Genomic DNA, 24,997 nt, shown 5'->3' with positions numbered 1-24,997 from the left:
TAGTCCCAAGCTACTCAGGAGGCTGAGGCTGAAGTCGAGGCTGCAGCGAGCTGTAATCACACCACTGCATTATCTGGAAGCTGGGAATTGAACACAATGAAGACTCTATTTCTCACCTTTGTTCTTCTCTGAAAGTCTGCATTTTTTCTCTCTTTCTGCAGACCAGCATCTTTCACTTCTGTCCCTCTGGTGGGAAAATTGGTTGACAGCTTCCAAGCTTTACACTTAGAGAAAAGCTGGTATCTCTTGTCTAATTGCAAATTTCTAGAAAATGAGATTTTGATTGCCCCAGGTTGGATTAGCTGCCCACCTCTGACCCAATAAGCTATGGTTATAGGAACACGACAGTTTTTGCCATAACCCTATAAATGGGGGAAGGTGGAGGGTCAATTCCCGGAAAAGAGGGGCTGGGCAGACCGTCCCACACGTGTCCATTATACTAAAAAACCTCCATTCCTTCCATCCTTCATCCCTTCAAGCCACTGCTCTCTCCTTTCACTGCTTGCTTTCAAGAGTTAACTATGTACACTGCCTTGCCATCTACTTATTCTTTGACAATCTGGCTTGTTCCATCTCCACTATTTTATAATTTCTTTTATGTAGCTTGAAGCTTTTTTGCTTTTGCATCCTAATAGAGTATTCCCCTATCTCATTCATCCCGATCACTCTTGGGTTCTGCACTTCTGCATTCTAACTCTGCCTGCCATTATCTCCCATCTTCCAGTAAGTTCCAAGCCAGATCTGGCTACTACTCATTTCAGATCTTGTTTTCTGCTTTATTCCTGCTGAAAGAGTGGGCCGGCCCTAAAAGCCAGAAAGAAGACAGGCACTGCATCTGTTTCATCTCAGTATGTTGAAAATACATTTTTCAAAAGATTATGACTCCATACATCTGAAATTAGAGCCCTTGCAGCTATTTAGAAAAGCTCCCGACAGACTAAAACACAATGAAGTTTGGAAACCAAAGGCCCTAACCATAGGACATAGTGGATCTAGGAGTACCAAAAAGGTACAATTTGTAATGTAATTTGTGTTGGTAATTATCTCCCTGCCCAAAGAGATGCTGAGGGCAAGGATATTCGATTTAACTTTGTCTCTGCATTGCCTTAGGCAAGTAAATAATGTAAGTTTCTTTTTATTTATTTATTTATTTTTGAGACGGAGTCTGGCTCTGTCACCAGGCTGGAGTACGGTGACATGATTTTGGCTCACTGCAACCTCCGCCTCCCAGGTTCAAGCGATTCTCCTGCCTCAGCTTCCCCAGTAGCTGGGATTACAGGCACGTGCCACCACGCCCGGCTACTTTTTGTATTTTTAGTAGAGACGGGGTTTCACCATGTTGGCCAGGATGGTCTCGATCTCCTAACCTCGTGATCTGCCCGCCTCGGAGGGATTACAGGCGTGAGCCACCGCGCCCGACCAGTTACGTCTTTCTTAATTGGGACCAACAGCTCTTTAAATATTATCTTTCCACTAAGGGGAAAATCCTCCCTCCTGGGGAGTTTTAGCTCACTTTAGCTGAATTCAGTCAATCCACTCTAACTTCCATTCCCATGATGCATCAATCCATCCCCCAAAACTCTTTTTCCAGGAAAAAGCAGTAAATAACCTAAGCAACTCAGTGAGATGCAAGGAGTTGGAGTGCAACTCCTAAACACTCATCATCACGCCCCGCTTCCTGTGACCCTGTGAGCACAAGGGCTGAGAAGGGTGGTAGTCTGGTTCCTCGACTATATCCTAAGGCCATAGAGAAGACTACAACTACCAAGATGCCCCTCTCCCCGCCCCGCCCCGCCCCTCCTCGCTCCCCTTCCTCCAGCTAGAAAGCGTGTACCACCGAGAAGACGAGGCAACATGGCTCCCGGAGGTGGAAGAAAGAGGCTTCACCCCTTCTAAAGCGGGAAGAAGAGCGGCCGGAAAGGAGAAAAAAGAGAAGTGACTAGAGCCCATCCTCGCTTTTATCCTCCCAGCCTCTCCCGGGTCCGGTCTGCCCCTCCCCTTCTCTCTACCCAAATCCAATTTGTGGTCTCCTCCCCTCCCCGCCCTCATTCCCTCGCTTCCTCACCCCTCCCCTCGGGAATCCTTTTCCCGCCCCCCCTCGCCCCCCGCGGAGTGCGCACGCGCCCGCCCCCAGCTTCGCGCCCAGATCGTCGCCTATCCTGCTTGCGCAGCCGCTATCGCGTCTGCCCACCGACGAAGCATGGGTGTCCAGGGCTTCCAAGAGTTCCTGGAGAAGCGCTGTCCCGGGGCCGTGGTGCCCGTGGACCTCCTAAAACTCGCGCGCACGGTCTCGCGCCAGCAGCAGCAGCAGCACTTGCACCGCCAGCTGCCGCCGACTGCAGCCCTAGCGCCCGGGGCTCCACGCGCCGCCAGGGGCTCCGTGCCTCTGCAACCGCCGCTTCCGCCCGCTGCCTTGGGTGCCTACTCCGGGGGCGCGGGGCCGACTCGGCACCATCACCCCGCTCACCACTTCCACCATCATGGCCAAGCGCAGCCCGGGCTGCACCCTCCGCTGCCGCCGCCGCCGCCCCCTCAGCTGCCCGGGGCCCGGGTGCTGGTGGACGCCGGCTCGGCGCTGCCGCGGCTCTATGGCGGCTACCAGACGGATTGGGTGTGTGGCGGCCAATGGAACGCCATGCTGGGCTACTTGTCAGCGCTGTGCCAGGCTTGTGCCTATCCTGGCGGCGACGGCCTGGAGCTCGTGGTCATGTTCCCGGGGGGCCTGGGCAAGGACCGGCTGGCCGAGTGGGGCCGTCGGTGCCAGGCCGAGCGGCAGACAGCGCAACTGATCGTGGGACACGTGGGCAACAAGGGCACCCCTCCACCGCGGGCCTGGTTCCTGCCACCGGCCTGCCTGAGCCACTGCGTGAGGCTAGCACTCATCCGCTTCCGGGTCAAGGTGAGGGAGGGGCCGGATCTTAAATAATAAGCCCCACACCTATTCCCTCCCAACTAAATACCTAACCACCTACCCACTTACCCACTACCCTACCTCCCATCTACCCACCCACCTACCCGCCCAACAGCTAACCTACCTGCCTAACTACCCTCTACCATTTTATCCATTTACCTCCCCCTTCATACCACCCCCTACGGATTCACTCACCTACATGGCCATATCTCTACTCATGTCATCCCAGTAGCTCCCTTTAGCTTCCCTTATCCAATTGGCCTACCACTAGGTTTCAGCAGAATCTAGTCAGAATTTCTTTTGTAGCCTCATCTTTCTCCTGGTGTCTTCTGCCTCAAACTGAAATGCCTTTACCCTGCTTTTGCCAGTTGACATCTCTCTCCTGTATCTCTTTCCAACCTCGCAGTAAATCACTTAAGCAGGTGTGAACTGAACACCTTTCTTCTACATTGTTTTTCCGTCTTCACCCACTGCTGCTTTTTTACCCATCTGTGTCCATTCAGCCTTTTTCATTTCAACATGCATCTTCTTCCTCCTGCCTTAGCCTAAACACATAAAAACCCACTGATTCAGTCACTGTTCAGCAAGTATTAACTCACTGAGTGTAAGGGTTTTAAAGACATGTGAGACACTGCTCATGCCCTTGGAAAGTTAAATGTATACACATGAAACATTTAATTATAGCAATGTGTATGTGATTATGCCTTATGGTCCAGACAGTAAGTACAGTTCCTGTTTTCTGTATGTGGGAGTGGTGGGATATCTTTGGACTAAAGTGGTCAGGGGAGGCTTCCCTGAAGAAGTCGGACCTCACCTGGGTCTTCAAAGGTGGATTGGATTTGAATGAGTCACAAGCTTGGGAGGAGGCTGCTTTAAGTGGGAGGAAGAAAATGAGCAGAAGCAAAAAGGAATATTAAGTGTGCAAGGCCCCATAGGCAGTTAAGTCCAATCTGCATGTAGTTGGGTCACTGCATATGGGGCCTGGGGAACAGCTTGGCAGCATCCCCAGTTCTTGGCACCACTGCTGCTGCTCTGTTGCTTTCCCATACTCTTAGGTTTCAAGTTCCTACGTGTAGAGAATAGCAAGGCTTGGGAAGTAAAGGAGGTGGGCAGGAAGAAGAAAAAGAAAAGTAGTACAGGGTTGGGTAGAAAGAAACCGCAAACCTATTTCCCCAACCAAGGTTCTTGGGGGTTGTCCTTACAGTTAGACAGAACAGGGGATTGTGGGAATCACTTAAGAAGTGGTGTCGGCTGGAGTAATGAGGAGGAAAGAAATTTTAGCTCAGAGACTAAAAGACCTAAACAGAGAAGCTTGCAGTGGTTATAGAGCTTGTGGCTAGAGTCCAGTCATGCTAGACTCGTTCTCAGCATCAAATCTGTGCCTAGAGTGCCTAGATTATAGTTGTTTTAATTTAAACTAATCCAAACGTGAGCTATCTCATACAAGGTTAAAAAAAAAAAAAAAGGCACACATTTGCTTGCTCTTCTGACTGAACATTTTAAGGTAGATTCTTTATTCATGGCCATTCTTTCCACTTTGTTTTCACTGCTACCACCCAGGCTTTTAAGGACTTTTTAACCTCGTTGTTATTAACCTGGTTGCTGGCAATAGTGACCACATTGATGGAATATTTACTATGTTTTAGGTGTCGATCTGTGCACTTCTTTTAAAAAAAATTACCTCATCATCCTCGCAATAACCTATGAAAGCAGTATTATCCCTGTTTTCCAAATGAGGAAACTGAGGCACGGGCTTAGAAACTTGCCCAAAGTCACCCAGAGATAAGTGGCAGGGCTGAGATTTGTGCCTATGTGGTCTTCCTCCAAAGCTCATACTCTAAACAACAGTGCTGCTCTAAAATGAATCTTTCTAAAGTGCCACTGTGATTAGATCATTTCCCCACTCAGCTAAACTCTTCCTTGGCTCCTGGGTAAAGACGTGTTCAGGTCATTCACTTACTTTTTTATTTGAGTGCTTGCTGTAGGCTAAGTACTAGCTGCTTGCTGAGGACTGAGAGGTAAATAAGGGGATCCCGTCCTCAAGGAGGACAAGGTTTAGTGAAAGAGATAATAAATTGCAGATACTGTGGGCTAATTGCAAGTGATGAAAAATGTGGCCCCTATAGGGGGCATGGTTAATTTTGAGTAAGGGAGTGAAAGTTGGGGAAGGCTTCACCGATGGTGCTAAGCCATGAAGAGGGCTGTAGATAGTTCAGATAGCGGACAAGGGTGTGGAGACCCGAATAGCCAGTTATGAGCTCTGAATAGATTTTGATTGGAGGTTGGCAGGAGAGTTGAACACTTGAGTATGGGTTTGTGGTTTCCAAAGTTTTTTTTGTTTATATACCCCATCAGTCAAAATCTTTAGAGAAGCAGCCCTTAGTATATTTTTGTCATACTTCACTACACAGTCTCATTTTTAAAATCCCAGCAGTTAATAAAAAAGATGGATTGAATAGATGGATATGTGATAAATCAGGTATAGTAAAAATAGTAGAATCTCAGTCACGGGTATTCAGATGTTCACTGTAAAATTATCTCAACTTTGCCATGTGTTTGAAGTTTTTCATAATAAAATGTTGGGGAAAAATTCCCAGCAGTCCTCTTTAGTCCTTAGAAGCACTCTTGGGGAATGTATAAATCTTATTCCCTGTGCTAGATTATAAACAAACTCTGATCTTTTTGTATTCTCCATAATGTCCTGTGTACTTTGGGTGCAGGGTACATTGTTTTTTTCCATAGTGAATAGGTCAATGATCCTAAGAGAATGGATTGTAGAAGTGACTTTTTAAGAGTGTAGTGTGGCTCTTAATATAATGGATTTAAGACCAGCTCCAAAATTGCATATCTAAAGTGTCTGTCGATGTTACTAATGAGTGAAGTTCTCTCTCGGTTCTGGTCAGTGACTTTTTTGTTGTTACTGGAGTGATAAAGAACTCCCTGGATTGTAGCACAGACTTGAAAGTATTGATTAATAACCGATTGTGGTTTCCCTTTTCAGAGGAGTGTTCTACTGTCTTGAAGGTGGGAATTTTTCACTTGGATGATCTGCATGCCTACTATTTCTTTTGACTGAATGTCAGTGCCTCAGAACAAAACCCACTACTGTATCTCTCCCCTCTTTGGTTTTGTTCTTCAGGCTAGACCACAAGATGGGCCTTTATTCCCAGTCTCATTTTCATTTGTGATACAGAAAGTAGAGGTGGAAGGATTAAATAATAGATAAATTGCTGGGTTGTCTGTTTAGCTTTAGACAACTTCGGACTTCCCATGAAAAGATCCAGTGTGTATTGCTGGGATGAATTTTTTGATTTGGTTGGTTTCATTTATATGCTCTGCAAAGCTTTGTAAATGATAATCAGTAGAAGGAAAATTAAGTAAACCCACAAATTGCTTGCCTGATTGCTTCCTAAGGGTCTCAGAAATAAAGCAACCTAAAGCAGTTTTAGATTGTGATTCAGGAGATAATTTAGGGTGATTAAGGGAATGAATGCTTTGTTTTAATGGTTACTGTGTAATTAGAAAAAAATGATCAGCACATCAGACTCACCATTTCACAGCTATACTTTTTTAGAATGATTATGATTACATAAAATGAGTTGATTTAAAGAAAGCTATTAAGTTGCAGTACGTGGATATGGCAGAAATCATGTTGGTGGCATATGAATAACCAGACTTTGAGAACAGATACCATTTTGTGCTTTGGTTCTCTAGAATACGATAAAGCAATGGCTGCTATGCCTCCTGATTGTTTACTTACCATTAGTCATAGACATTCTGAAAAGTCATTGACTTTTCTAGATGCTCTAGTCGTTGGAAAATAATCAAAATAATAATTACTTCTTAGGCAACAAGTTGTATATTAAAAGCTTTTAAAATATCTCATTTAATCCTCAAGAGCTTGCAAGGTGCATGGTATTCTCCCCATTTTACAGTTGAGTAACTGAGGTAACCAAGAGGTAAAATAATTTTTCTTTGTTCTAAGTACTAGTAAGTGGTGGATAAAAATTATTGTTCTAGGTTTATATTGCTCAAAGTTTACACAATCCCACCATCCTGTTTCCTTCATTTTATACATTCTTGTGTATGATCGTACACTGTTATTGGCTAGACAATATGCATAGAAGACAATCATAAGTAGATTTTTTGAGCACTTAGTTTGTGCCAGCATTGCTAAATGTACAATACTGCCAGTACAAGGCAAATGTGTAAGCTAAGTGCCAAGTAAGTGAGTCATACAGTGATGTTATAGGAATTCAAAAGTAGTAATCCCTGTCCTTTCTACAGTTTCAGTCTCTGCCTCTCTGGTTTCTTTCACTTACAGCATGCACAAATAATCTTTGAAAAACAAAAACTTCCCCTTTATTTTCTAATTCCTTCGAGCCATTATCTTTATCTCCTTTCTTCCCTATTCACCATTATTCTTAAAGAAGCAGATTGTATTAATTCCCATTCCCTAGCCTAGTGCTACTTTATATCTGATGTCACCACTCTGAAGCTGCCACATGCATTTCCATTCTTAGCCTTTCTTGGTCCTCTTTAAGATCATTAATATCAAGCCATCCTATTCTTGAACTATCTTCCTTGGATTTCATAATTCAGCTCACTTCTGATTCTCCTTGTAACCCTCTAGTTCTTTCTTCTCTTTTCCTTATTCCTCTTCTGCCTGCTTCTTTAAATGTTGGTGCCCTCAAGGCTTCTGTCCTAGTCATATTCTTCTGCTTTTGTTTCCTGAGCAATCTCATCCATTATTGTGGCTTTAAGTATTAATTAAATTCTGATGATTCCTATTGCTCTGTCTCTACCCTCGACCTCTCTCATGAGCTTTCAACACATCTTTTCAGCTCTCTACTACTTGATGTCTTTTAGGTCACTTAAACTAAAAAATACCCAAAATGGAACTCATTATGTTTCCCCAAAACTTGTTTCACTTCTGGTACTCTCTTTTTCTATGAATGGTGTCTTTCATCAGTTTCAAGCCAGAAGCTGTGGAGTCCTCAATTCTTCACTCTCCTGTCACTTCCCACATTTACTTGGTCATCGGATCCTTTGAGTTCTACGTCAGAAATGTCTCCTGAGTCCAGCTACTTCTGTCTGTTTCCACCCCCATTGCTTTAGTTCAGGCTGCCAAAATTTCTTACCTGAACCAGGAAGACAGTGTCAACTTGTTCCTTTACCATAACACTCTCCGGACTCCATCTGCCATATTGCTGCCAGAGACACGATTCTGAAAACAGAAGCTGACTCTGTTATATGCCCAAAGGTGTATTTGCCCACCCTACCGAGTCCAAACTTCTCAGCATGGCAGACAGCGCCCTTCACAATCTGATCCCAAACTCTCTCCAGACTTACCTGGTGCTCACCTCTGGCCACCCCTGTTCCAACCATTCTATATTTTCTTAGTTTCCTAGACATACCGTGTCCTCTCTCATAGTATTTTTCTTATGTTTATCTTGACCTTTGCATAGCAAATTCCCCCTTATTCCTGCTCAAAAGTTATCCTATAGAATCTTTCCTAGCCAGCCTCTGTCAGCTGTGGTAGATGAAGCCTTCCCTTTACTACCAGAGTACTCTGTTCTTACCTCTCTCATATTTTTTTCTCTTTCATAGTATTTTCATATCGCATAATTCTCTTTTAAATGAGTTCTAAGAGGGCGGAGATTTGCTCTAGGACTTGACATATATAAAATAATGTTTGCCGTGAGAGAGATTGGTTGATTTGCCTTTACTGACTGAATCACTACAGAGGGCTTTACAGGTCAGATGAAGAATTTAGAATCAGTGCTATACAATGTTATATGTTAATTCCATCTAAATAAACTCAGATTGCAAACTGAATTGCCAAACTCCTTTTACTCAGAAGTTTTGTAGCTACTTAGCAATGCACTTATAGAATATATTCCCCTTTGATGGTAGTAATAATAGCTACCACATGGGCGAGGTACCTCACCAATATTCATTTAATCCTCACAACCACCCAACAGGAGAGGTATTAATCTCTATTTTTTCCTCTACTCCTATGACAGATTAAATCTCTTTTTTTTTTTTTTTTTTTGAGACAGAGTCTTGCTCTGTGGCCCAGATTGGAGTACAGTGGCATGATCTTGCCTCATTACAACCTCCACCTCCTGGGTTCAAGCAATTCTCCTGCCTCAGCCTCCCAAGTAGCTGGGACTGCAGGTGCGTGCCACTACACCCAGCTAATTTTTGTATTTTTAGTAGAGACGGGGTTTCACCGTGTTGGCCAGACTGGTTTCGAACTCCTGACCTCAGGTGATCTGCCTGCATCAGCCACCCAAAGCGCTGGGATTACAGGCGTGAGCCACCACGCCTGGCCTAAATCTCTACTTTTTATAGCCAAAAACCAAAAAACAAAAAAACAGGCTCAGTGTAGTTACTGGCCCAAGGATACACTGCTAGAACATGGTTGGACCAAGATTTGGACCTAAAGATATTTGACACCAAAATCCTTCATCTTTAACATATCTCAAAACAGTATAATTGCGTTTTTATAGTTATATTTTAATAACTTTTTCTAGAACATTTTTTCCTATATTTAGTTTGTGTAGCATAATGGCTGACAACACAGGCCTTGGAGCCAGACTGCCTGGGTTTAGATCCCTATTCTTCTAAGTACTCATTATGTAAGCTTAGGCAAGTTACTTGCTCTGTGCCTCAGTTTAACAATAATACCTACATCACAAATTTTGTTGTGAGTGTTAAATGATTTAAGTAATATGCTTGGAACATCATATGGCATGTAGTAAATGCCATATAAATGCCAGCTACTATTATATTGACTAAAATATCTTGTAGCGGGGCATGGTGGTGCGCACCTGTAGTCCCAGCTACTTGGGAGGCTGAGGCAGGAGGATTGCTTGAGCCTGAGAGGTTGAGGTTGCAGTGAGCTGAGATCGCACCAATGCACTGCAGCCTGGGCGACGGAGTTAAGACCCTGTATATATTAAAAAAAAAAAGTATAAAATATCTTGTGCACCTAGTAGGTTGGACATTGATCACCTCACTCTCATGCTTTAAGCTTAGCATGGCATGCCATGGCATGCCTTCATGATCTGCCCACCATTATCTAGCCTAATTTTACCCCATTTTTCTTATCAGGACAATGCTTTTCAGTTCAGTTAATATTTTTGAGCACCTGTTCTGTGCCAGACACTGTGCTAAGTACTATGAACAACGGAATTAATTTATTCAGCCAATGTATTGGACTCCTGTGTGCCAGGCAAAGTTCAAGATTGTGAGGATACAGCAGTGAATAAAACAGATTTCTGACCTCATGAAACTTGTATTCTAATGGAGAAAATAACAAACAAGATAAATAGGCAAAATATGTTTTGTGACATAGGAAATGCTGTGGAGAAAATGAAGTAGGGAAGTGAGATAAGGAGTGTTGAAGTCAGGGGTACAAAGCATGGTACCCTACCCTTCCAGGAGCTCATAGTCTATCTAGTAGAGGAGACAAGTAAGAAAATACTTATGGTATAAGTCCCCAGGATCATTTCTCCGGCCCTTGTCATTAGGCCCAGGGACATAACCAGTAGAAGTGGCAGAAACCAGGATTTGCATACCAGAAGCAAAACCCTTGCCCGTTCATCTGTATCACATGAGGAAATTACAAAGGTTATGGCAAAGATGGCAAACTGGCAGCCCGTAGGCCTTATGTGGCCCATGCATGTATTTTTGCATTGGCCCACACATTTTTTTCCTTTTCTTTTTGAAAGAACTTCGTTTATTTTCATTGATCAGTAGTGTTCACCAGGATCTGAAATCAAATAATGCACTTGGACTGAATATTAAGGCATCATCTAGTTGAATGAATTGAATGATTATCATTTCCTGCTGTCATTTAACTTGCATTATATGAATACACTTCTTTTTTAACAAGTTCGAATTTGTTGCCAACTTTTAAAAATTGAGAAATGTTGCAAAAAAGTCTCTTTCCAACCACTCCTGAAATATCAGATCCTCTGGCAATACTGGTTGACCCCTTTTGGTGAACCACATGGTCTTCATTTATTGGTCTCTACAGCTCCATGGTGTCTCCCTGCCACAATGATGAAGTGCCACTTGTCATTCATGGTAGACATCTTCTACAGTGGCTCCCAATGAGTCCCACCTCCTGGTATTCACACCCTTTTGTAATCTCCTCCTGTCCCCCCCGTTTGTGGGCTGGACCTAGTGACTTGCTTCTGATGAGCAGACTACAACAAAAGTGATGGGATGTCACTTCCAAGATTAGGTTATAAAAAACTGTGACTTCCATCTTGTTTGCACTCTCTCTCTCTTTCTCTCTGGCTCTTCTTGCTTGATCACTCTGATGAAGCAAGCTGCCATGTTGTGAGCTGCCCTATGGAGAGGCCCACAGGAAAAGAAACTGAGGGAAGCCTCCAACCAACACTCAGTGAGGAACTGAGGCCCTCAGTCCAACTACAGCCTGCAAGGAACTGAATTGCTGCCAACAGCCACGTACGTGAGTGAGCTTGGAAGCGGATCCTTCCCCAGGCAAGCCTTGAGATGACTGCAGCCCTGGCTGGCACCTTGATTGAAGCCTGTAGGAGACCTTGAGCCAGAGGACCCAGCTAAGCCATGCCTACAGATACTATGAGATAATAAATGTTGTTTTAAGCCACTAAGTTTGGGGGCTACTTTGTTACACAGAAATAGATAACTGAAACACCATTGATTGTTGTGCTTGTTCTTTTTAAATAATATTTTTGATGAATATGAAATATTTCTCCTACATCTGTGCAAAGTGAAAAAAATCTTTTTTATGGAAGAAGTTCACGTATTTGAACAGGAGAGAGCCTATTTCTTTGTGGAATTGATGAATTTTCATATACGTCTAAATAAAATGTGTCTGTTGAAAGACTACGATTTAAGATACCATTTAAAAGTAAACCATTGTAAGAAATATCAGTATACAGCCGGGCGCGGTGGCTCACGCCTGTAATCCCAGCACTTTGGGAGGCCGAGGCAGGCGGATCACCTGAGGTCGGAAGTTCGAGACCAGGCTGACCAACATGGAGAAACCCTGTCTCTACTAAAAGTACAAAATTAGCCGGGCGTGGTGGCGCATGCCTGTAATCCCAGCTACTCGAGAGGCTGAGGCAGGAGAATCACTTGAACCTGGGAGGCAGAGGTTGTGGTGAGCCGAGATTGCACCATTGCACTCCAGCCTGGGCAATAAGAGCGAAACTCCGTCTCAAAAAAAAGAAATATCATTATACAAAAATGATGAATGCTGAAATGAAAAGAACTTAAAAATGTACTTGGAATTTCAACAGGCTATATTTCTAGATACAGATAAAATAAGTGATGCCACAAAAGGCAATTATGTATTAAATGAAAAAACTGCCAGGGGTTGAAAGCTTTTTTAAGCAGTAGTTTTATAAAAGTGTTTGTTGAGTACAACAGAAATTATGTTATAAACAAGCATTTGCAAAGGTAGGAAATACTTTTGTTCAGGATGTCAAACATCGATGGCTAAACATTCTTGGGCCAGATTTAGTCAAAAAGTTAAATTATTTTTGGAGATTTACATAGCAGCTGGTTACAACAGATTAAAAACTCCATCCACATAGCTATACATTTAGCTGTATACGTAGCCAGTGGTTCTCAAAGTATGGTCCTAGACCAACAGCATTGTACCATCTGGAAACATGTTGGAAATACACATTCTCAGTCCCCTACCCCATCGGACCTACAGAATCAGAAACTGGCGGGAAAGGTGGGGGAGCTTATGGATCCATTTCAACAAGCCCTCCAGCTGATTCTGATACATGCTGAAGTTCGAGAGCCACTGCACTTAGGTATGATTTATGTGTTAAGAATTTGATGTAACCTGACTCTTGGACTCATCACAGGTACATCTGGAAATACCTGGATTTTGTGTGATGAGAAAAGTCTTGAGATTTTTAATAACAATTGTTCAAAATTAGTAAGTATGGCTACAGATTGTGCTTCTGCAATAGTGTTAAGAACTGTTGGACCCAAGAAACAATTTGAAGCAGAAACACTTTCCAGGGACCTAAACTTAAAGCTATTTCTGCTAAAAGCTTCAAAATGAATCAGTCAGATCAGAAACTAGTAATTAACATTGTGGTTTGCACCACAATTGAATACTTTGCTTGGTGAATTATTAGGTGCATGTTATGGAAATCTGCCCTATGACATGGAGGTTGATTGGCTTAGTTGAACATGATACTCAAGATGCTGAAAAAAATGATTTGGCATCCAAAGGGCATTCACCACACCCGCAGAGATTGAAATAAAATATTTGGCTTGTTTGGTTGATTTTACAACTCATCTAGACACTATGAATAAAAACAGCATTGTTCAGAAATACCTTCACAAATGTATGGTTGTACTTGCTTGTTCCTAGCAAAATTATGCCTTTGGGAAACTCATTTGGCAAGAGATAAACTGGCTGACTTTCCTTTGCTGAAATTGGTTTCCAAGAATTGAAAGTGATGGCCTGAATTACATTCCCACAGTTGTGGAGTTGTCTGTTGAATTCCAGAAAAGGTTCTCTGACATATTTGATGAAAATGAACTAATATTGTTCAATTAGCCTTTCTCAGTGTTCAGAGTATGAAAGAAGAGCTACAATGGAGATTCAGAATTACTGTGCCATGGTACTGAAAATGAAGCATGATGTCATTGAAATGCCGAATTCTACAAATACCTCGGAAGTAGTTACCGAAATATAAAAAACACTATGCCAAACTTCTGTGTTTGGAAATGCCTACATTTCTAAACAGCTGTTTTCCATTATGAAATAGGATCAAATTAGTCACTTGAAGTGAAAGCATTCAAGGCTCAATTCTGTACTGCATGTTGTAACAAAAATATAAGACCTAACATTGACCTCTTGGCACATAAATGTGTCAGGCCACCAGTTCCAAGTCAAAGGAGAATAAACAAACAAAAAAAAAGTGTAATGATAAATTTTCTAGTTTTTCACTTATGTCGTTAATGTAAAATGTAAACTCCAGTATTTTGCATGTATAAACACCCACAGCTTAAATAAAAATACATTTCTGTGTGTGTGTTTTTTATTTTTAAACACAGGGTCTTGCTCTGTTGCCCAGGTTGGAGTGCAGTGGTGTGAACATGGCTCACTATAACCTTGAACTCCTGGGCTCAAACCTTCCACCTCAGCCTCCCCAGTAGCTAGGACTACTGGCATGTGCCACCCACACCCAGATAATTTTTAAGGTTTTGTTTTGTTTGTTTGTTTTAGAGACAGGGTCTTGCTAGGTTGCCCAGGCTGATCTCAAACTCCTGGCCTCAAGCAATCCTCCTGCCTCAGCCTCCCAAAGTGCTAGGATTACCCACCATGCCTGGCCAAATATTACATTTTTGGAAGTTAATTTTTCTTTACTCAACCCCTTCATTCATGTTAGCTGCCCATCCCTGTAAGCATTTCCAGTCCCTAGTTCAAAGACTTAGAAATTTCTTGTGATCATTGTCTTCTCTGCAGTTCCCGTCCTCCTTTCTGAGGTAACCCAGAGGTTCCCTTGGATTCTCGCTCTCTTTCTCCTAAGAATACTTTTCATGATACCTCTGACTTCTCAGTCGTGAAGATTTGCTTTGGGCTAAACAAATGCCTATTCTGGTATCTACTTGTCTCAAATTATTTCTGAGGACCTTCAGGCAGTAGTACATACCACAGACTTCATCTCTGCAAAACAGACTTTCATAGCTACTTTTTCAGTCTGTGCCAGCTATTATATTATAAATTGTAAGTCTTAGAATTGGGTATGAATTAAGTAAATCTCCATTTTACAGATGAAGAAGCTAAGTGACTTGTCCCCACAAACTTTGATCATAGGTTCACTGGATGCCAAAGCTCCTGCTGTATATACTGATAACAAAAGTTAGTATCTAAAGTACAGTTTCCAGCCCATGGTTGACACACAACAGGTTTTTTAAAAATCCAAGTTTTCCCTTTTGTTCTTAAATGTGACAGAAGATTTCATCTGCAGAAATGGGCTGGCTTCTGGCAGCCTAAGAGTAATTAAGAGTACTAAAATTGGGCCGGGCACGGTAGCTCACGCCTGTAATCCTAGCACTTGGGGAGGCCAAGGCGGATGGATCACCTGAGGTCAGGAGTTCGAGACCAGCCTGGCCAACATGGTGAAACTCTCTACTAGAAATACAAAAATTAGCTGGGCGTGGTGGTGGGCGCCTGTAATCCCAGCTACTTTGGGAGGCTGAGGCAGGAGGATTGCTTGAACCCAGAGGTGGAGGTTGCAGTGAGCCAAGACCACGTCATTGCACTCCAGCCTGGGCAACAAGAGCAAAACTCCATCTCAGAAAAGAGAAAAAAGTACTAAAATTGGGTACTCGCAAATTAAAATTAGTACCTTAATAGTGTGTACTGAACACTGGATCAGTATTCTACTACCTCTAGCTTGACTGCCGTATTTCATGGCAAAGACTACCACGTATGTGCCTGTAGATAATTGAAATTCCTACAGTTGAGAGGGAAGGCCACTTTATCAATGTTTCCTTGAAGTAACTGTGGTTCCTAATTGCTGCTATTCTTTTAATACATTATTCTTTAGCTTTGTGATTATCAGTCTGGTCTCTTAATGGTTGGTTGGTGAACTCCACAATGTAGTGATGCATATTTGCATCAACAGTAGTTTCAGTCTGTAATTATTTAGTAGTTAGAGTTCCAGTTGAAATGTAAATCATCTATATTTCTATTGCTGAACCAGACTTATACATAATCCATCCCGCCCTCGAATCTTCTTATAAGGTGATACTTCCTTACTATCTCTGATTTCTTTTTGCCTTGGTGAGAACAGGTAGTGAAGATAGACCACAGAACTCAGCCCAAGTTAGTCACTAGTTTGGTGTATTTAGCATGGTAGAGGGGCTTGAGGGAATATGGGACAAGCTGGAGGAAGTCAAGTACCGCAGAGGTCAGAAAGCAGTATTGCCTCTAGTTTGAAGTTACTTTAACAAGCATTTATTACACTCTTTTTATGGTCCAGGCAGAGTGCTAACATAATTCTGCCACTAATGGGCTTACAATCTAGTTATTTTTTTTATGCCCTTGTGTTTATTGTATTACTTGTGAGTTGATCTCAGATTATGCCCACTTTTCCAGTTTCCTTTATTTGAGAAACAATGTACTTAATGGAAAGACCATTTGTTTTTTTAAAGACAGGGTCTCACTCTGTTGCTCAGATTGGTGTGCAGTGCATGATCTCGGCTCACTGCAGCCTCAACCTCCTGGGCTCAAGCGATCTTCCCACCTTAGCCTCCTGAGTAGCTGGGACCACAGGCATGTACGATCATGCCTGGCTAATTTTTTAAACAATATTTGGTAGAGATGGGATCTCACTGTGTTGCCCAGGCTGGAATCCTCGGCTCAGGCGATCCTCCTGCTTCTCCCTCTGCCTCACAAAGTGCTGGGATTACAGGCATGAGCCACCATGTCCAGCCCTGAAAGAGCATTATTTTAAAGTCAGACCTAATTGGTTCAAATCCAAGTACTGCCATATTGCTAGCTGTGTTATTTGGGGCAAGTTACTTAAGTTTTCCAAGCTTCTGTTTTCTCTGTTTAAATAAAAGAGAGGGAGGGGGATGAATGATCTAATACCCATTTTACAGAGTTAGAAGGATAAATGAAATATGCCTAGCCCAGTGTCTATCTTGAAATGTTAATCACTACAGTTAGTTCCATGAGGTCAAAGACTCTTGGCTCTTGTTACTGCTGTGTCTCCATACCTAGATTGGTGCCTGGCGTATATTAGTGCCTGGTTCAGTACCTATTGGTTGAAAGTTGAAACAGTTCATTGGTTGCCTACTCCGTGTGAGTGGTCTATGTACTGGAGATGACAGCAGTGAACAAAACAGATTTTTAAAATCCTCAGCCTTCTTGAAGCTTACATTCTACTGAATAATACTTCTGGTGGTTTTTAATATCAAATACTCTTCAAATATTTCTGAAAGAGCCGCAGTATATAATACATAAAATGGTGACTATGAGCTCAGGTTGAAGAGAAAGTTAGGAACACCAGGCCAGGTGCAGTGGCTCATGCCTGTAATCCCAGCAGTTTGAGAAGCCAAGGTAAGAAGATTGCTTCTGTCCAGGAGTTTGAGACCAGCCTGGGCAACATAGCAAGACCTGTCTCTACACAAAATCAAAAATTAACCAGGCATGGCGGTGCACACCTGTAGTCCCAGCTATTTGGGAGGCTGCAGTGGCAGGGTTGCTTGAGCTCGGGAGGCTGAGGCTGCAGTGAGCCGTGATCCCACCACTGCATTCCAGCCTTGGTGACAAAATGATACCCTCAAAAAATAAAAATTTTAAAAAGTAGAAACACCAATTCTCTTTAGTTATTTGGTCCGGTCTCCACCTACCAAAATTCTGGTTTGGGGAAGCACAGTTTGCAAGCCACTTCTTTAGACTACCTATGGTTGGAAATGAGACACGTCTTCTCAGAGAGCTTTTTTCCCTTGAGGTTTTCTTTTTTTTTTTTTTTTGAGACGGAGTCTCACTCTGTCGCCCAGGCTGGAGTGCAGTGGCGCGATCTCAGCTCACTGCAACCTCCACCTCCCGGGTTCAAGCGATCCTCCTGCCTCAGCCTCCTGAGTAGCTGGTACTACAGGCACCTGCCACCACACCCGGCTAATTTTTTTTTTTTTTTAAATAGAGACGGGGTTTCACCATATTGGCCAGGCTGGTTTCAAACTCCTGACTTTGTGTTCTGCCTGCCTTGGCCTCCCAAAGTGCTGGGATTACAGGCATGAGCCACCACACCCGGCCTCCCCTGAGTTCTATAAACAGGTGTCACTTCCTCTCAAAAACCATCACCCCACTGACTGTTGAGGTGCCTTTACTCTGTGTTCCCATGGTACCCTGTGCTCCATAACTTCTCACAAGTTAAGTGTCTTGCTTTGTGCTGTCTGCATCCTGGCACTTAGTAGGCCCTCAACCCCTATTCACTGAACTGAATGGTGAACCAGCAATTAAAAGCTATAGATAGTCGTTCAGAATCTCAACTCTCGCTTTCTTTAAAACTCAAATGTGCTGTTTTCTCTGATCAGTTGTTTGGTTATGTTATAGTTGAATCTCTCCTAAATCATTTTACTCTCCTGGAAAATTGCAAGGTTAACGACTAAACTGGACCAATTTGGGCCAGGCGCTTACAGGTGGTAACAGTGATGATAAATGTGTAAATTGAGCCAGAGTGCTCACTATTCTGACGGTCATTGTTGGCTCTTTGCCCTGTCAGGATTGAATGCAGATTGTATTTTGCTAGGAATAAATTGCCATGTTGTGTGATCTGACTAGATAAGTGTTTTTTAAACTTGCTTCATCACGAAATCATCTGGGGTTCTTGTTAAAAAACAGATTTCCAGCCTGACCCTAGACCTACTGAATCAGACTCTTCAGGGGTGGGGCTTAGAACAGCGATTACTTCCAAGGAATGAGAGTAAAAGGACTGTTTTCATTCTACACACTGCCATATTGTTTGCTTTTTTTTTTCCCTGAATATGTTCTGCTTTTATTCAGCTGCAATTTTATCTTTTGATTAACTTATAATTCATGGTACAAAAATTCAAAAGATACAAAAGGATATATGATAAAAAATATTCCACCCCTTTCCCAGTCACTAGGTTCTCCTCCCTGGAGGGGACCAATATTATCAGTTCATTGTGTATTCTTTCAGAGATACTATGGATATAAAAGCAAATAAGTATACATTTTATATATATATGCACATTTTACATATATACATATTCTACACAAAAAATACCTTTTAAAAACAGCATACTATGCATAATGTTCTGTACCTTGCACTTACCATTTACCATATCTTGGTGATTTTTCTATGTGTATAGATAGAGTTTTGTCATTACTTTTTATGGTTTTACACTATTCCATTGTACGTATACATTATGATTTACTTAACTCGTCCCTTATTGATGGGCAATTAATTAGGTTGTTTCCAGTCTTCACCTATTACAAATAATGCTCCAGTAAATATTTTGTGTTTGCAAAGGAGTTGCTCACACTTAGGCACTTTCATTGTTGTTCCAAGTGCTTTACATATCTAAAAGATAAATCCCTGAAAGGAGAATTGCTGGGGCAAAGGGTATGCACATTTGTAATTTTGAAAGGTCTTGCCAAATCGCTCTCCCTAGAGATTCTACCGTTATACCCCTACCAGGAATGTTTGCAAGTGCCTGTTTCCTTCACCAATACATTATTTGCTAATCTTGTACGTGAAACATCATGTTTCAGTATTATTTTAATTTTTATTTCTCTTATCACCAGTGAGTTTGATCATCTTTTTATATGCTTAAAATCTGTTTGTTTCCTTTTTTGTGAAATGTTCTCTTACATTGTTAGGTTTTTTCCCTTCTCTATTAAGGAAATTAGTCCTCTGCACTGTAAGTTGCAAATTTTTTTGCAGATTGTCATTTGTCTTTTGAGCTTACTTACATGGGTTTTTCCCAAGCAGAAATGTTTGATTTTTTTTTCTTATTCATCAGTCATTTATACGTTCATACTGTGGAAATGTTTGATTTTCATATAGTCAAGAGTATTGACCGTTTTCTGGGGGTGTTACTGGATTTCTTCATAAACTATCCCCACTCTGAGATTATACAAAATTTCCCTCATGGTGTATTTTATTATTTTTTTATTTTTATTATTATTATTTTTTTTGAGATGTAGTCTTGCTCTGTTGCCCAGGCTGGAGTGCAGTGGCGCGGTCTTGGCTCACTACAACCGCTACCTCCTGAGATCAAGCAAATCTCCTGCCTTAGCCCCCCGAGTAGCTGGGATTACAGGCACCAGTCACGATACCTGGCTAAATTTTGTATTTTTAGTAGAGACGGGGTTTCACCATGTTGGCCAGGCTGGTCTTGAACTCCTGACCTCAAGTGATCTGCCCGCCTTGGTCTCCCAAAGTGCTGGGATTACAGGCATGAGCCACCGTGCCTGGCCTATGATTTTCATGGTTATCCTAGTTAAAGTGTGAAGTATGGATCCATGTTTTTCTCCTCAAATGACTCTTCAGTTATCCCAACACCATTTGTTAAATAATCTATATTACTTTTCTAATCTAAAAACTGGATTTTTTAAACAAATAAATGGCATATAAATAAAGGGAAGGGGAACTGCTATACATTAAGGTCCTTAGAAGCCATATCAACGAAATACAGCATGTGGATTCTGTTTGAATCCTGATTTGAACAAAGCAACCATCGAAAGACATTTTCGGGACAATCATAGAAAGTAGAATAGGCACTAGATATTATGATATTAAGAAATTGTTAATTTTGTTGGGTGTAATAATGGTAGTGTTTGTTACTTTAACTGTGAGAGTTAAATAATGAAGTATTTATGGGTGAAGTGATTTGATGTCTGGAATTTGCTTTAAGATATGCCAGGAATGGTCAATAGCTTATGAAAAGATATTCAACATCACTAATCCTCCAAGAAATGCAAATCAAAACCACAATGAGATATTACCTCACACTCATTAGGATGGCTACTGTTAAAAAAAACACACAAAAAAATAAGTGTTGACAAGGATGTGGATAAATTGGAACCCTTATGCACTGTTGGTGGGATTGTAAAATGCTGCAGCTGCTGTGGAAAACAGTATGGAGGTTCCTTAATATATTAAAAATAAAACTACCATATAATTCAGCAATTCCACTTCTGAGTATATATCTAAAACAATTGAAAGCAGGATCTCTAAGAGATATTTGCACACCCATGTTCATAGCAGTACTATTCACAGTAGCCAAGAGTTGGAAGCAACCCAAATGTCTGTTGATGGATGAATGGATAAACAAAATGTATAGCATACAATGGAATATTATTCAGCCTTAAAAAGGAAAGAAATCCTGTCACATGCTACAATATGGATGAACACTTGAGGACATTATGCTAAGTGAAATAAGCCAGTCACAAAAGGACAAATTCCATATGATTCCGCTTATATGAGGTACCTAAAGTAGTCAAATTCATAGAGACAGAAAATAGAATTGTGGTTACCAAGAGCTAGGAGGAGGGAGAAAAGGGAGCTGTTATTTAATGGATATAGAATTTCAGATTTGCAAGATGAAAAAATTCTGGAGATACGTTGTATAACAATGTGAATATCCATAACACAGCTGAACTGTACACTTAAAAATAGTCAAGTTGGTAAATTTTATGTGGTTTTCAATCACAACAAAAAATATTAAAATACCATAAAAAGGCCAGGCACGGTGGCTCACGCCTCTAATCCCAGCACTTTGGGAGGCTGAGGCGGGTGGATCACCTGAGGCCAGGAGTTCGAGACCAGCCTGACCAACATGGTGAAACCCTGTCTCTACTAAAAATACAAAAATTAGCCGGACCTGGTGGCATGTGCCTATAATCCAGCTACTAGGGGGGCTAAGGCAGGAGGATCGCTTAAACCTGGGAGGCGAAGGTTGCGGTGAGCCGAGATCGCGCCACTGCACTCCAGCCTGGGCAACAGAGCGAGACTCTGTCTCAAAAAAAAAAAATATATATATATATGTATATATACACACATACACACACACACACACACACACACAACATAAAAAGGAGGGGGGCAAGGTAGATGAAACGAATGACTTAACATTGATAACAATTGAAAGTGGGTAATGCTTTCATGGGGTCTCATTACCTTTGTATATTTAAAATTTTCCATAATAAAAAGTTATTAAAGTTCTTAAAGCCTTAGGGGAGCTTGGGATTTGTAAACAGAGCTGAATTTGAATCCTAGCTCCAATTTTTAAAAATCGAGGTATAACTCATATACCATAAAATTCAACATTTTAAAGTATACAATTTAATGGTCTTTAGTATATTCATAGCATTGTGCAGCTATCACCACTAATTCCAGAAGATTTTTATAACCTCAAAGGGTAAACCAATACGTACTAGTCTTATTCCCCATCCCCACAATCCCTGGCAACTACTATTTTATTTTTCCATCTCTTTGGATTTGCCTATTCTGGGCATCTCATATGAAAGAAGTCATACAATATATGGCTTTTTGTGTCTGGCTTGTTTCACATTAGCATTCTGTTTTCAAAGTTCATTGATGTTGTAGCATAAATCCGCACTTCATTCCTTTTTATTGCCAAATAATATTTCCTTTTATGGATATACCACATTTTGTTCATTCATCAGTTGATAGACATTTGGGTTATTTCCACTTTTGGGCTATTATGAGTAAGCCTGCTGTGAACTTTCATGTACAAGTTTTTGTGTGAACATAGATTTTCAGTTCTCTTGGGTATATACTTAGGAGTGAAATCATTGGATCATATGAGATAACTATGTTTAACCATTTCAGGACCTCTGAGACCACTTTCCAAAGTGACTGCACCATTTTTCATTCCCACTAGCAATTTACGAGGATTCCAGTTTCTCTGCATCCTTGCCAACACTCATTATTTTCCATTTTTTGATTATAGCCATCCTAGTGGGTGCTAACTGGTGTCTCATTTTGGTTTTGATGGGCATTTCTATAATGACTAATAATGTTGAGCAGCTTGTCATGTGCTTATTGGCTAGCTTCACTTTTTAGCTATGTGACTTTGGTCAAGTTCTCTAACCTCTGACCCTCATTGATCGTTTGTCTTTAAAATGAAGATAATAATGCCTCCTGATGTTATTGCAAGGTTAGTGGATGTGAGGGGGGTTTGGAACAGTGCCTGGTACATAGTAGGTACTTAATTGATACCTAATACTACTTTGCTACTCGAGCTTGGATAGCTTGCAATCTAGTGACTTCACTACATCTGCTGTAGAAGTTAAACGCTGAGATGATAGTGCCCTCTCATTTGCCAGAGCTGTTTTTGTTTTTAACAATCTCACTAGGCCTTTCTTTACTATTCTGTACCAATCAACTCCTGTTCTCTGTCCTTTCTAGTTGGAAGGACATGGTTAGAACCATGGAGATAAAAGAGTAAGATAGAACCTGTGACCTTAAAACTTGAAGATGATGGTATTGTCAAATTAGTTCTGTGACTGTGTCATCTGTCTCTGTGCTATAAGAGTGAAGAGGAGGGGAATTATCAAGGAATTTGTCCAAGAGGTGGCAGGCCTATGGAAAGTATTCAGAACATTGGGAAAGAGAGGCAGTAAGGCATTCTAGGCAGGGAAACCAAGTGAGCAAAGACAGGGAAGGAGGAGTAATCTTGGAAATGGGTAGTTAGGAAATTAGCCTGTTAGGAGAGAGGTATTGCGGAATTGTGAGAGGAATTCATGAGATTCTTACTCTATTGTTTTTCATTACCTACTCCAGAATATTTAGTGAAAGAAGTCCTATACCTGGAATCATGAGACTTTTGTTCTAATCTTGGTTCGGCTGCAATTAGCTAGGTCAAGTCATTTATCCCCTCTAGGCCTCAGTTGCCTATGTGATAAAATGAATAATTGGATTAGTTCAGTGATTCTTAATTGGAGGTGTGCATGAGAACCTACTGGAAACTGTTTTGAAATGTAGGTGTTTGGATCACACTCAAGACATTGTTCCAGGCTGGGTACAGTGGCTCACGCCTGTAATCCCAGCACTTTGGGAGGCCAAGGCCGGTGGATCACCTGGGGTCAGGAGTTTGAGACCAGCCTGGCCAACATGGTGAAACCCCGTCTCTACTAAAAATACAAAAATTAGCCAGGTGTGGTGGCATGCGCCCGTAGCCCCGGCTACTCAGGAGGCTGAGGCAGGAGAATTGCTTGAACCTGGGACATGGAGGTTGCACTGAACCGAGATCAGGCCACTGCACTCCAGTCTGGGTGACAGAGTAAGACTCTGTTTCCAAAAAACAAAACAAGAAATAAGTTATTCCAGCAGATCTGAGGTGAAGCTTAGGTTTGTATATTTTGAAAAAGATCTCCAGGTGGTTGTGATATACATTCCTAGTGTTTTAAGAGCTACCAAATTGATTAAAAATCACTAGTCCTTGGCTTTCTGGAGTTGAAATCACTTGAATGGTGGCATAATCAGCTTCAGACCAGCTGAAGATTAAGTGTTGTAGTGGAGAGGGTCTTTGGTGACACCTAGAGACTTTGATGTCAATGTGACCCAGGTTGCTGTTTCCCAGCTCGATAGCTCTGAGTATGGCATCTTACTTTTCTGAGCCTCAGTTCCCTCATCTGTAAAATGGGGCTTCTAATACCTGCATGGTGAGGTTGTGATGAAGAGAGAGAAAATATCACACTTAGTAACTATCTCTGGTACAAGGTAAATGGATGCTCAACCAATGACTTGTATGAGTGGTGTGCTGGAAGAAACTATTACCAGGGGACAGCATAAAACTTTACTCCTACCCTGACACATCTGGAGTTACTCATATCTCTAAGGCATAAATATGTTACAATACTTTTTGGCTCCTTTGCCTGGATATCAAATAAATATCGACCTTGCTTCACTGTCTGCTTACTGGTGTCTCTCCCCTTGTGTGTGACATGACTAGCAACTGTAACTAGACTCCTTTTCCATAATCTAGCAAAAGTTTAATGCATTGAAACTCCTGTTAAACTCCAGAAAACTACCATTCCAACTTAAATGACAGATAGTTGAGTTGAAAAAAACTATCAAGGTCCACAGGCTCTAGAGCCAAAATCTGGGCTTTGCTCCTCCTAGCCATATGACCTTGGGGCTAACAATGTGTAAAATGGGGATAGTAATAATAGGTATGCCCTCACAAGGTTGTTGTGAGTATTAAATGAGTTAATGCACATAGTACATATTCAGTATCTGTTAGCCATTATTATTACTATTACGTACCAGGTCTTATGTGAGAGCCAGGAATACAGAGGTAATTTCTCTCTATGGTCAAGGAACTTAATTTGGTGGAGCCGGTATACAGATAATTTCAGTATACTTCAAGTACAGCAATAGAGGCATGTACAGGAAGAGTACTTAACAGTTTACCTCTATTACATAAAAAATAGTGATCTCCAGGAAGAAGCGTGGTACAACAGAAAGTGTGCATTCCGGAGTGAGATCAGCCTGGATTTGAATCCTGTCTACCACACTCACCCATTATGCAACTTTGGGGGCA

General features: G+C 41.7%; 1 protein-coding gene across 4 annotated transcripts in view, besides 3 other annotated features; it reads left to right on the top strand.

The window, feature by feature from the left end:
- Positions 1,713-1,812: a silencer, noted in NCBI's record as "silent region_20863". NCBI's record gives its function as "represses an Ori minimal core promoter by ATAC-STARR-seq in GM12878 lymphoblastoid cells {active_cell/tissue: GM12878}" and the evidence as "EXISTENCE:reporter gene assay evidence [ECO:0000049][PMID:35858748]".
- Positions 2,145-24,997, top strand: part of FAM120C (family with sequence similarity 120 member C) — a 114,931-nt gene continuing 92,078 nt past the window's right edge. For 3 of the 4 annotated variants that reach the window (NM_001300788.2, NM_017848.6, XM_006724589.5), the window contains exon 1: positions 2,145-2,899. In NM_001300788.2, the coding sequence (NP_001287717.1) occupies positions 2,201-2,899 (699 nt within the window). In that variant the 5' untranslated portion in view covers positions 2,145-2,200. Of the gene's footprint in view, positions 2,900-11,252; positions 11,609-24,997 lie in introns of those variants that run through there. The other variant, NM_198456.3, reaches the window with a different exon arrangement.
- Positions 2,383-2,592: a silencer, noted in NCBI's record as "silent region_20862". NCBI's record gives its function as "represses an Ori minimal core promoter by ATAC-STARR-seq in GM12878 lymphoblastoid cells {active_cell/tissue: GM12878}" and the evidence as "EXISTENCE:reporter gene assay evidence [ECO:0000049][PMID:35858748]".
- Positions 2,603-2,652: a silencer, noted in NCBI's record as "silent region_20861". NCBI's record gives its function as "represses an Ori minimal core promoter by ATAC-STARR-seq in GM12878 lymphoblastoid cells {active_cell/tissue: GM12878}" and the evidence as "EXISTENCE:reporter gene assay evidence [ECO:0000049][PMID:35858748]".

This window comes from Homo sapiens, chromosome X (assembly GCF_000001405.40).
Source record: "Homo sapiens chromosome X, GRCh38.p14 Primary Assembly".
Taxonomy (NCBI): Eukaryota; Metazoa; Chordata; class Mammalia; order Primates; family Hominidae; genus Homo; species Homo sapiens.
Note: the sequence above shows the minus strand (reverse complement) of the source record. Positions and strands in the feature narration are given on the sequence as shown.